Genomic DNA, 13,366 nt, shown 5'->3' on the forward strand with positions numbered 1-13,366 from the left:
TGAACCCGGGAGGCAGAGGTTGCAGTAAGCTGAGATTGTGCCACTGCACTCCAGCCTGGGCAACAGAATGAGACCCTGTCTCAAAAAACAAAACAAAATAAACAAACAAAACAATAAGAATTACAGAAACATGCCATGTTCACAGGTGAAAAGAATCAATATTGTAAAGATAATGGATTCCCCACAAATTGATGATTAAAAACTGTGCAATACCAATCAAATACCATCAAGATTTTTAAATAGAACTTCACAAGAAGATTGTCAAATTCATATGAAAGAGAAAATGTATAAGGATAACTAAGGACAATTTTTACAAGAAGAACAAGGGCCCATCAAATATTTAAAATATACAATAGAGCCAGAGTAATGAAAAAGGTGATATTTGTATAAGAATGAAGAAATCAGTGGAGAGAATAGAGCAAGCAATAGACCCATGTTGGTCCATTTCTACATGGGAATGGAATAGATGGTAAAAATGACATTTTATACCAATGGGAAAGGATAAGCTAGTTAGACAAAAAGTTTTGGGGAAAATGGATATATATTTGAGAAAAAATAAAGTTAGGTATCTCACAATATATAAAACTAATTCCAAATGAAATCTTGGTGGTAGAAAGGCTTTCTTAAGCAAAATTTAAAATACAATCATCAGCCGGGTGCAGTGGCTCGTGCCTGTAACCCCAGCACTTTTGGAGGCCAAGGCGAGAGGACTGCTTGAGGCCAGGAATTTGAGACCAGCCTGGGCAACATAGCAAGACTCTACAAAAAAATACAATAGTTAGCTGGGCATGGTGGTGTGTGCCTGTATTCCCAGCTACTTGGGAGACTGAGGTGGAAGGATCTCTTGAACCCAGGAGTTTGAGGATGCAGTGAGTTAATGATCACACCACTGCACTCCAGCTTGGGTGACAGACTGACAGCCTATCTCTAAAAAAGAAAAAATTAAAAATAATAATAAAAAAACACAGGAACACAAAACTATCTATTACTATCTATTGATCTATCTATCTATCGTGTGTGTAAATAAGCAAAACCTGGAAGGACAGACTTTGTTCTGCACATTTTAAACCAGTAGTAGAGCTTAAATTTGGTGAGGAGGGAAAGAATTGCAGGGGAGTGAAGGTGACATTTTTCTACCCAGAGTTTTTTTTTTAATAAGAAGACATTCCCAGATAATTTATATAATTAAATTTTTTAAAACGACCTCTTTATTATTATATAAATATGTGGCAGGAAAATTAATAGGGAACATTTATTTTCTTTCTTAGACATTTTCAACATTTTTTTCCCCTGATAAATCTGTATTTTTTTAATAGCCAGAAAAAATGCACCAAAGTGGTTTCCCTTCTGAAATTATTTTTAATGGTGTTTGGCTCACAGCAGAATGATCCAGGCCCATCCGTGTCCTGGCTCAGGGCCCAGGCTCTCTCCCTGGCAGCCAGCGAGGTGATCTTGCCAGAGCTATCCCAACTGCTGCCTCCCTGGCTGCCAGCATCACCTTGGCTACCTGCAGAGACACTCCTGCCACTGCCTCACTGGTGGGGAGAGCTCCCTCCTGTTGCAACACTGATTAATATAAGATGAGTGGAAAAGCAAAGGGAGGGCAAATACAGAGGGCCAGGCCGTGCAAAGGAGAAGTCCGTTTCTGCAGCATTGATACCAGGTCCCACGTCAATCTCTCTGAATAATCTGGCCCTCGCAGTTTCTCTTTGGAGAAATTTGAGATACGCTTCCCAGCAGCTGGGTCAAAGGGCCTTTGAATACAGCGCCTCATTGCATATCCCTTCCCACCTGCACTGGTGTTGCAGACCATGGGGGGCACCTCATCTCTCCCCTACCTCAAGGGGGCTTCTCTGCAGGAGCTTACAGAATGGCTTTAGCTTTCTCTGCCCCCCTATGTCCCCTACAACGTATTCTAGTGACTCAGTCCTGGGCCCTCCTGGCTCAAGGGAAGTCCATATATCCATGAGTGGTTGTAGGAGGGTTGCCGGCATGACCCAGCTAACTTACTGAATCACCTTTTCAGATTTGGTGCCTTCTTCCAGGTCTCTTGCCTGGGACCTTCATGCGCCTAACAGTCTCTTTTGCTGTTTTATTTGAAGCATAGAATTGTAGCCTGAGTCTTTCCTCAGTTTATTTTGTGATTGATCCTCCTTACCAAGTGTTTATCGTGGTTCCAGTGTGTGTGTTGGGGGGTGATTCTAAAGAACACTGCTTGTGAGTCACGCTGCTCTGTTAATAAACCTGTTATGCAGGAAAACCCAGCTGAAAGGCAGATCCAAGCTGCTCACTCCCAGCTGTTAGTAAGTGGATACAATGGCCTTTTCATTGGGTATGAATTTTAGTCTATTATATTTTCTTTAGAAACTAAAATCAGCTCATGAGAAGTTAAAGTAATGCTGACTTTGTTTCATAAGAAATAAAAACTCGACTCAGGAGGACCCCAGCCATTATTTGTGGCTCACATTCTCTAAACTTCATCTGAAAAGCTGATATTCCAGATTCCTTACATCTCTCCAAGATGGCTAGCATCTTATACACACAAAGATGGGGGGGGGTTTTACTCAGCAAGAAAAATATTTATTTTCCTTTTTTTTTTTAGGAGAAAAATACTTGTCTCTTCAACCTCATTAATTTTTATGATGCGTAAAATTTTTTCATTACATTAGCCAAAAAGACTCTGGACTGAATAAAGTATAGCACCCAAACCATTTAAAATGGCTTCCTGACTGGGAAGACACTGCAGTCATCTCAGGGAAGTTTCTGGCCTTGGGAAAAACAAATGGAACTTTGGCCGTTCAAGAAGGGAAACTCAAGAATCCAGGCCTTGCGTGCTGCTCTTTTTTCTCTGAAAGCTTTTGGAAGTGGAGCCACACTTTATTTACCGAATATGCACTTCTTGTTTCTTGTAACCATGGTGCTTTAGTTGAGTGTGTCTTATGTCAGACTACTACTGAGCCAATATTTATCATTTTAGAAATTTCCATGAGTCATAAAACAAATGTGCAACCCGCTTGCTGTACCTTCTACGGGAGTTTCTTTCCTAGAGTTCTTTAAAGCAAAAAGAAAAAATGCTAAACCTAGAATCCAACACTTGCCGTTTATCAGAACACTTACATACTTTCTCCAGCATGGAGGCTCCTTCTGTGAAATTTGAAAATCCATTCAGCTCACATCCAAGGTGTGCTGCCTGCTGCCTGAGGTACCCTGCCTACCCAGGACTCCAAAACCCTCTCCAGAGGGCCAGGTCTGGGCTGAGAAAGAAAGGAGGCTTTAGAGGTTTGCAGAGAGGAAGTGACTCACTGGCTCAAGGGGTGGGAGGGAAGGCTTTCCACAGGATAGAGAATATAAATGAGCAAGCAATTCCTTCCACTTCCAGCATGGAAAATTTTACTAGGGGACCACCTCTTAATGACTGGGCCTGAATTTAGTGACCACTCACCTCCACTCCCCCTTCCAAAAAGAAGAGTAAAGAAAAAAAAAAAAGCAGGACCAATTGCAAGATGTGATGTTGTTTGCCTCATTTACACGTAAGGATGTTGAAGCTAATGCTGTTTGATCTCTTGTGTCAATCAGCTCCCTTTGCCCAGACATGGATAGTTGGGAGAACCACATTAAGTCTACAATCTAGAAAACTACAGCAATTTATTGCTTTTGCCATTAAAAAACAACAACAACAACAACAACAAAAACAAGTCCTCTAGAGCCCTGTTTTGTCTAGAGCCCAAGGCCTAGAGTTTATAAATCAAAATTTAAGAGACTGCGTTAGTATTACTAGAACAGGATACTTCACGAATTGCTAAGACTGTGCCAGGCACTCAGTATCTCTTCTGTGGAGTGCAAGCATCACCTTTTAGAGTTAAAAGGGTCAAATTAGTCAACATCTTGAGTTTACAGGTGAGGACAAGGAGTCCCAAAGGGGTGCACCTTGCAGAGGTCCTATGGCTACTTAACAGTAGGGCTAGGCAAGACTAGAATTTGTGTCATCCAGAGCACGAGTCCCCACCCCTGGGCCATGAACCAGTATTGGTCTGTGGCCTGTTAGGAATGCGGCGAGTGAGCATGACCACCTGAGCTCCACCTCCTGTCAGATCAGCGGCGGCATTAGATTCTCATAGGAGTGGGAACCCTATTGTGGACTGTGCATGCAATGAATCTAGGTTGCACGCTCCTTGTGAGAATCTAACTAATGCCAGATGATCTGAGATGGAACAGTTTCATCCTGAAACCAATCCCCCGCCAACCATCCCCCTGCCACCCCGTCTGTGGAAAAATTGTCTTCCACAAAACCAGTCCTTGATGCCAAAAATGTTGGGGACCTCTTATCTAGAGTCAAATACCTCACCGAAGGACTGGCAGTGGAAATATTGGAGCAAAACAGTTACAGTAAAAGGCACTCAAATTTCAAATCATGACCATTGGCCTTTGGCTATCTGTTTTTGGTGTTTGTTTTCCTTGAATACAACTCAGAGTTCCCTCATCAGGAAGAGCTGGGTTTCTTTGGCTGAACCATCATTTGACATCCCTCCTGCTACCCCCGAGAAGACAGGAAAATTAGGAGGTAAGCCAGAGCAGACCCCAAAGAAAATAAAAAAACAGGGAGGAAACCCATTACATATCTACATCTATCTTATGTATCTTGGTCCATAGGGTCTAATTTTTTTTGGTAGGACATCAGGCATTCTCTTCCTCCAAATATCCAACTTTGAATAAACCCTCCAGCCATCTCTTCCATATTCATATTTGCCAACATAAGTGACGAATGATGTCATTAACAAACACTCACTTCCTTCCTCTGTGGATGCTCCACTCATCAAAGATCCAGTAACATCTCCCTGGTGTGATCTGCTGCACCAGGTAGGATCCTGAGAATTCCCAAGGGAACTTGGGCCAAGTTTATCTTGGCATTTCTGTTTTCACTTGTGATCTCCTTATTCATCTTCATATTCCTGGTAGCTAACATGGCCGCAGCTGGCACACAGTAGGACCTCAGGAAACATCCTCAAATCTAAATGAAAAAATGTTCAGTTAGATTTGACAGTGGCTTCCCATTGTGAATATAAACAAGTTGCCCACCTGCATGCACTGGTATCACCTCCATATCCCAGCAGGGCTTCAGCACTGCCCTGACATTACCTGGCAGCCTCTGGGGTGGGCGCTTTGCTGGTTCTGAGTTTTTCCTGCCCTGTAGTTGCAGCGGGTGAGGCAGAAGTCTGCAGGGAATAATGGGACGAGCTGGGGAAAAATGAGTCCCAACCAGAGAGCTTGCCACAACCAGCCCATTGCTGTCTGTGACATGCTTTTTCCTCCTCTGACTGTCACTTTCCTCCCTTTCTTAACCACCGTGTGAAACAGTCCTTTCATTTTTTCTAAAGTGACTTATTCTGAGCTTTTAGAAAAACTCTCTTGTTTTTACATGTTAAGGTTTACTGTGAAATTTCTAGTCTCTTCATTCCTATCCTTCATGATTTTATGACTTGTGATTACACTCAATCCTACATGCTGAAGAGTCTGAACTCATTTCATCTATCCTTAAAAAAATGCTTGATTTCCTTGTTTTCCCCTTTCTGAATATTTTGTGGTTCATTTTTCTTTCTCCGGAAGTACAACAACCGGATCAGAAGTGTAAAAAGAATGTATCATGGAGGTTGGGCATGGTGGCTCATGCCTGTAATCCCAGCACTTTGGGAAGCCAAGGCAGGCAGATCACGAGGTGAGGAGATGGAGGCCATCCTGGCTAACACAGTGAAACCCCGTCTGTACTAAAAATACAAAAAAATTAGCTGGGCGTAGTAGTGGGTGCCTGTAATCCCAGCTACTCGGGAGGCTGAGGCAGGAGAATCGCTTGGACCCGGGAGGTAGAGGTTGCAGCGAGCCCAGATCGCACCACTGCACTCCAGCCCAGGCAACAGAGCGAAACTCCGCCTCAAAGAAAAAAAAAAAAAGAATGTATCATGCTTATGAAAAATGGAAGACAACTTGGAGAGATCCCCAGGATATAGTGCTGAATGAATGAATAAAAACAGGCTGCATTTCTGCATGTATTGTTCAGACCGTTTGTGTTTTACAAAATGCTATATTTTATAAAGTTCTGAAAGGCTCTGTGTTGATGAGAGGTGTGATGCCCACTCTGACCTTGATGTGTGTATGTGTGTATGCAAGGAACCGTGGGACTGTTCATTTATCCTTGCACTGGATTTGCTTTTTAGAACATTTCCCAAAAACTTTCTTGAAATATTTAATTTATTAGATGGGCTTCAGGGCAGTTCATGAGCTCCCTAAGGTTATAGGCCAAGCTTTGTGAGTAGAAACAAATGTCCGTCTTTCTAGAGAGAGGTTTTATACTTTTTTTTAATTTGTTTTGTTTTGAGATGGAGTCTTACACTGTCACCCAGGCTGGAGTATGACGGCGCGATCTCGGCTCACTGCAACCTCTGCCTCCTGGGTTCATGCGATTATCCTGCCTCAGCTTCCCAAGTAGCTGGGATTACAAGCGCACACTACCACATCTGGCTAATTTTTTGTATTTTTAGTAGAGATGGGGTTTCACTATGTTGGCCAGACTGGTCTCGAACTCCTGACCTCGTGATCGGTCCGCCTCGGTCTCCCAAAGTGCTGGGATTAGAGGCATGAGCCACCGCGCCCGGAGGATTTATACTTTTTATAAGAATCCCAGGCCGGGAGCGATGGCTCACGCCTGTAATCCCAGCACTTTGGAGGCCAAGGCAGGCGGTCACAAGGTCAGGAGTTTTGAGACCAGCCTGGCCAGCATGGTGAAACCCCATCTCTACTAAAAAATACAAAAACTTAGCCAGGCGTGGTGGCACGCACCTGTAATCCCAGCTACTCGGGAGGCTGAGGCAAGAGAATTGCTTAAGCCTGGGAGGTGGAGGTTGCAGTGAGCCAAGATCACGCCACTGCACTCCAGCCTGGGCAACAGAGTGAGACTCTGTCTCAAAAAAAAAAAAAAAAAAAAAAAAAAGAATCCCAAAGGGAATATATATGGCCTAAGAGGGACTAAGAACCACTGGTTGAGATAATTGTACTACTTTGTACTCCATTTTCTCACTGTTTAACTCAAGAAGCATGCTATTATCTGAAAAACATACATAATTGGTCAACCTTTAATGTTATAAAATAGTGGTATATGATTTTTACTCTACCATAACGACTAATAGAGAAATCAATAATGTCACCATGTGGTACTGTATCCTTCCCACAAATATACTTAAACATATTTAGCCTTTTCCTAAAATAGATGCCAGGGCCCTTGGGGCTGTCTGATCCATCAGCACCAGGCTATGGGCAGTAAGGAATGTTCAGAATGTATTTTCTACAGCTTCTATTTGTTTTACTTTGCCAATTAACCTCCTCTGTGGTGTTAAGCAAGCAACAAGACATACCTCATTTCTCTTGTTCAGCCTCACTCACAAGTGCTGTGTCATGCGGCCTGTTGGTAAAGGGCTTGGGATCAGATCCTGTACTCCTCTGGGCTCCCAAGGAACGTCTCTTCACCTTACCCCATCTGTGGGATGAGGCCAGTGATAATATCTAACTGTGGCAGTCACTACTGGTTATCTCCCAATATCCATTTTCTCCTTCTTCCTTAGTAAAGGAACAATAGTGTCTTAGCTGAGCACACTGCTAGTCAGAGAACAGACCATGTTTCCCAGCTTCCCTTGCAGCCATATGACTAAGTTCTGGTCAATGAGATAAAAGGAGAAATCCTATATAGTACAGGGTATGTGGTCTAGAAATATGGTATATGTTTCTGGAACCCACCCTCCCTCCCTCCCTCCCTTCCTACCTTTCCTTCCTCCCTCCCTCCCTTCCTTCCTTCCTTTCTGACAGAGTCTCGTGCTGTTGCCTCCCAGGTCAAACAATTTTCCTGCCTCAGCCTCCGGAGTAGCTAGGACTACAGGCACATGCCCAGCTAATTTTTGTATTTTTACTAGAGACAGGGTTTCACCATGTTGGACAGGCTGGTCTCGAACTTCTGACCTCAGGTGATCCACCCTCCCCAGCCTCCCAAAGTGCTGGAATTACAGGTGTGAGTCACCTCCTCCCCACCACCCCACCAGTTTCTGGGATCTTTCTATAAAAAAGTGGATGCTTATGCTGGGCAACATAGGGAGATCTTGTTTCCACACACGAAATATTTAAAAATTAGCTGGGGGCAGTGGTGTGCACCTGTGGTCCTAGCTACTTGACAGGCTGAGGTGGGAAGATTGCTTGAGCCTAGGAGGTTGAGGCTGAAGTGAGCGGTGATCGTGCCACTGTAACTCCAGCCTGGGTGATAGAGCGAGACCGTGTCTAAAAAAAAAAAAAAAAAAAAAAGAGGATACCCTTTTTATCTTTTTTCCTCCTTCTTACTGCCTAAAATGTGGAAGTAATAGCTGGTACTCTAGCAGTCATCCTGGACTGTGAGGTAACCTTAGAAAGACAATCTATGCACAACAAAGCAACAGTATAGAAATTGGGGCCAGGTGTGGTGGCTCATGCCTGTAATTCCAATACTTTGGGAGGCGGAGGCAGGAGGATCACTTGAGTCCAAGCGTTCCAGACCAGGCTGGGCAACATGGCAAGACTCTGTCTTTACATACACAGACACACACACACACACAGACACAGACACACACACAAATTAGCTGGGCATGGTGGTGGTGTGAGCTTGTGGTCCCAGCTACTCAAGAGGCTGAGATTGGAGGATTGCTTGAGCCCAGGAGGTCAAGGCTGCAGTGAGCCGTGTTTGTACAACTGCACTCCAGCCTGGGTGAGAGTGAGAACCTGGCTAAAAAAAAAAAAAAAAATGAAGAAATTGGGTTTTGAGCACCATCAAGTCAATATAACAAATCTGAATTGTTTGGCACTGTACTTCTATGTGTGAAGTAAACCATATACACATACACACACACGTAATAAAGCCTTAAGCCCTTATTTTGTAAGTCTTTGTTACTTGTAACTAAACACAACCCTTACTAAACTACCACTTCTTTGATTCATTTAAACTACTACTTCTTCTTCTTCTTTTTTTTTGAGAAGGAGTCTTGCTCTGTCACCCAGGCTAGAGTGCAGTGGCGCCATCTTCGCTCACTGCAACCTCCGCCTCCCGGGTTCAAGCGATTCTCCTGACTCAGCCACCTGAGTAGCTGGAATTATAGGCACCCACTACCGCGTCCGGCTAATTTTTGTATTTTTAGTAGAGACGGGGTTTCACCATGTTAGTCAGGCTGGTCCTGAACTCCTGACCTTAGGTGATCTGCCCATCTCAGCCTCCCAAAGTGCTGGGATTACAGGTGTGAGCCACCATGTCCGGCAAAATGCACAAATCTTAAGTTTTGACAAATGTGTATACCCATGTAACTTTTTTTTTTTTTTTGAGATGGAGTCTCACTCTGTTGCCCAGGCTGGAGTGCAGTGGTGTGATCTTGGCTCACTGCAACCTCTGCCTCCTGTATACCCATGTAACTTGAACCCCTAACAAAGTAAGAAAAAAAAAATGACCATCACCCCTGAAAGCTCTGTCAGACCCCTCTGCAGTCAATCTCCACTCCCACCCTATTTAACACTTATTCTGATTTTTTTCACTATAGTTTTGCCTGTTCTAAAATTCCTCAAACTTTGAATAAACTGTCAGTGGAGAGTAAGTAGATGAGATTGTCAACTACTGTAGGAGGGATTATAAATTGGTATATCCTTTTTAGAAGGCTATCTGGCAATATGTAATTAGTGAAATAAAATTTATGCATTCCTTTTGACTTAGTAATTTTATGGGAGGAATTTTCTGAGAAGTCTACCAGCTCATGTATGCAAAGAAGCCAGTCCCAAGGCTGTTCACTGAAGAACCGTTTGTGAAAGCAAAGGATTGGAAATATCCTAAATGCCCATCAGTAGGGGAAAAGTTAAATGAATGAACAGTCACACCTTGCAGCAATTATAAGAAATGATTTATTGATAATGGCAAGATTGCCAGGACAATCATTAACTGCACAAAAGCAAGTTACAAGATGCTACATAACCAACATAAAACCATTACACAGAACACCAATAAAAACGAAACACAAAACATATGCCCAAGGTCTATTTCTGTTAGTCCATACAGCAAACTGACATCAGTGGTTACCTCTGAGGAGAGGACTGGGATTATGGGAAAAGAGAGAAGGTGCTCAAAGGGGTTTTTCCTTTGTTGTATTGTTTGAATCTTTTACAATAAAACTACACTTGTGTCTTAGAGGATTAAGTTATTTTTAAAAGAGACTACTGACGGCCGGGCATGGTGGTTCACGCCTGTAATCCCAGCGCTATGGGAGGCCGAGGCGGGCGGATCACTTGAGGCCAGGAGTTCGAGACCAGCCTGGCCAACATGGTGAAACCCCATCTCTATTAAAAGTACAAAAATTAGTTGGGCATGGTGGCAGATGCCTGTAATCCCAGCTACTCGGGAGGCTGAGGCAAGATAATCGCTTGAACTCAGGAGGCGGAGGTTGCAGTGAGCTGACATCCTGCCACTGTACTCCAGCCTGGGTGACAGAGCAAGACTCCGTCTCAAAAAAAAAAAAAAAAAAAAAAAGACTACTGACATAAATAGGGATAGGAGATAGGAAATAGGTGAATTTGTGGAGAGGGAGGAGTTAAAAGTTTTTTTCTATGCTGTATATTGACAGTGTTATGTCTCCCAGCAAAGGAGCTTTCCCCAGCCTATCTATTAATACACATCTCTCTTCAGGCTCCTCGTTAATGTATCATTTCTTCTTCCCTGCCGCTTATATTAATGGTTTTAAATTCAAGTGCCTATATGTTCACAGATTAAGTATGCAAAATGTTTTCTAAACGAAATTGAAATATACCAATCTCATATTTAAGGAGAGACCTTATGTGTCTTAGTCTGTTCAGGCTGCTATAGCAGAATACCATAAACTGGGTGGCTTACAAACAACAGCAATTTACTTCTCATAGTTCTGGAGGCTGTGAAGTCCAAGATCAAGTCACCAGCAGATTCAGTGTCTGGTGAGAGCCCACTTCCTGGTTCATAGATGAACCTTTTTGCTGTGTTCTCACAATGGTGGAAGTGGCAAGCAGTAGTCTAGGACCTCTTTTTTTTTGAGACACAGTCTCGCTCTGTTGCCCAGGATGGAGTGCAGTGGCACGATCTCAGCTCACTGCAGCCCCTGCCTCCTGGGTTCAAGCAATTCCCTGCCTCAGCCTCCTGAATAGCTGAGATTACAGGTGCCTGCCACCACGCCTGGCTGATTTTTGTATTTTTAGTAGAGACGGGGTTTCACCATCTTGGCCAGCCTGGTCTTGAACTCCTGACCTCGTGATCCACCTGCCTCAGCCCCCTAAAGTGCTGGGATTACAGGTGTGAGCCACGGTGCCCGGCCTAGGACCTCTTTTATAAGGGCACTAATCCTATTAAAGGGGGCTCTGCTCTCATGGCCTAATCGCTGTCCAAAGGCCCCAACTTCAAATACCATCACATTGGGGATTACCTTTCAGCTTCCGGAGGGCATAAATCTTTATTAGTCTATAGCATTGTATGAAAACTCTTTCCCTCCGTGTGGAGAGGAGGAATGTCAATGTCTAGAAAAGCTGGGTGTTAAATGCAGAGGCTGAAGTTCAGTGGGACCTAAAAAAAATGGGGGCTCATCTTAAGTTATGATAAACTGATATATAAGTTTGATAAATTGTAAAACATCTTCAGATACTGGTTCACTTATTCAATACTTATTAAACACCTACTATGTATCAGGGGCTATGCCAGTTCATACATACGCATCTTAAATACCCCATGACCTCAAGGAACTCCCAGCTATCTGGTAGTAATGGAAAATGCACATAAATAATTACAGAGCTACAGTAATTGTAGGGAAAAAACCATGAAACCTCCTAACTCAAAGTATAGCATCTGCATCTCCTGGGGCCATCTAAGACTCCACCCCTCAACCCCGGAATCTGCAGTTTAACAAGGATCTCAGGTGATTTGGATCTTTATTAAGATTTGAGAGGTGGCCGGGCGCTCGGTGTCTAAGGCCTGTAATCTCAGCACTTTGGGAGGCCAAGGTGGCCAGATCACCTGAGGTCGGGAGTTCAAGACCAGCCTGACCAACACGGAGAAACCTTATCTCTACTAAAAATACAAAATTAGCCGGGTGTGGTGGCGCATGCCTGTAATCCCAGCTACTCGGGAGGTTGAGGCAGGAGAATCGCTTGAACCCGAGAGGCGGAGGTTGCAGTGACCCGAGATCGCACCATTGCACTACAGTCTGGGCAACAAGAGTGAAACTCAGTCTCAAAAAAAAAAAAAAAAGATTTGAGAAGTGATGAACTCTGGGATTATAGAAGGAACTAGGGGGGTGAAGGAGTTGTAAGGGGTACGGGGCACGAAAAAAAAAAAAAGAAGGAACTACTATTGATCCTTGGGAAGTGGTAAGAGAAGTCTTCAGATGCGAAGGGTGATAGGAACATCCCAGGCTGAAAAAATAAGCAGGCCCATGATCAAGGTAGTTAGAACTAGTAAGAGGTGTTCTGGAATGAGAAGTTTCGTCTGGGAGGGGCAGTGGGCACTTAGGAAGATATGGGAGATAGGGCAGAAAAAGTAGGCTGAGGCCAGAGGCAGACGGGCCAGACTGACCTGCTGAGGGTTATGGAGGAAGCCACAGCAAATTTTAAGCAAGAATGTAACAAGACCAGTCTTATGTTTGGACCTAACTCTGGTGGCAGAGTGGAGGACGAAATGCAGGAGAGGCTGGAGCAAGCAGGCAGGCATGTATCCTTAAATGAGCACCATTCACTTTTGGACTAGAAAGGAAGTCTGAATATTAAGAAGTGTAAGGGCCACAGGGTCCTAGGCAGGCAGAAAAGCAAAGGGTTCCAGCTGCAGGAGGATACAGGGGGGTTCCTTCTCAGTTCAGGAGTGTGGTCTCGGACTGGCATCTTCAGCATCACCTAGGAGTTGTTAGAAATGCCCATTCTCAAGCATCATCTTAGAAGCAGTGAGGGAACCTTGGGGATGGGGCACACAAATCTAGCTTTGAACAACTTTTCCAGGTGATTCTGATGCATGCTAAAGAACCACTGCTCTAGCCCGCCAAAAATCATGTCTCAGGTGGTAAAGGCTTAGAACTGCACAACTTACTGTCTTTTTTAAAAAGAACGAGGGTAATGAGAAATGGGTTCCTATGTTGAGTGGGGCAGAACAAAAGCCACATACAACCTAGATTTTACGTAGTGCCGGAAAAAAAAATACTGACCATCTTGTCCAAAAGTCTCATATTTGGAGAATTAAAATAGTTTTGGTCGAGGCCATGATGTTCTCGGTAACCTAAATTAATTTATAAAATTCTTTGTTCCCTTTATTTCCCACAAA

The 13,366-nt window shown here is 43.7% G+C and overlaps 1 protein-coding gene across 4 annotated transcripts in view, besides 1 other annotated feature; it reads right to left on the minus strand.

Moving 5' to 3' along the window:
* BFSP1 (beaded filament structural protein 1) overlaps window positions 1–13,366 on the minus strand; it is a 75,316-nt gene that overhangs the window by 61,666 nt on the left and 284 nt on the right. For 2 of the 4 annotated variants that reach the window (NM_001161705.2, NM_001278606.2), the window contains exon 1: window positions 3,118–3,263. In NM_001161705.2, coding sequence (NP_001155177.1) covers window positions 3,118–3,119 — 2 coding nt within the window. In that variant the 5' untranslated portion in view covers window positions 3,120–3,263. Of the gene's footprint in view, window positions 1–3,117; window positions 3,264–4,786; window positions 5,009–7,403; window positions 7,526–13,366 lie in introns of those variants that run through there. The other 2 variants (NM_001278608.2, NM_001278607.2) reach the window with 2 other exon arrangements.
* Window positions 1,666–2,381: an enhancer, noted in NCBI's record as "H3K27ac-H3K4me1 hESC enhancer chr20:17537881-17538596 (GRCh37/hg19 assembly coordinates)". NCBI's record gives its function as "activates a minimal SCP1, AML or CMV promoter by ChIP-STARR-seq in primed H9 embryonic stem cells {active_cell/tissue: H9 hESC(primed)}" and the evidence as "EXISTENCE:reporter gene assay evidence [ECO:0000049][PMID:30033119]".

The sequence above is a fragment of the Homo sapiens genome, chromosome 20, assembly GCF_000001405.40.
Source record: "Homo sapiens chromosome 20, GRCh38.p14 Primary Assembly".
NCBI lineage: Eukaryota > Metazoa > Chordata > Mammalia > Primates > Hominidae > Homo > Homo sapiens.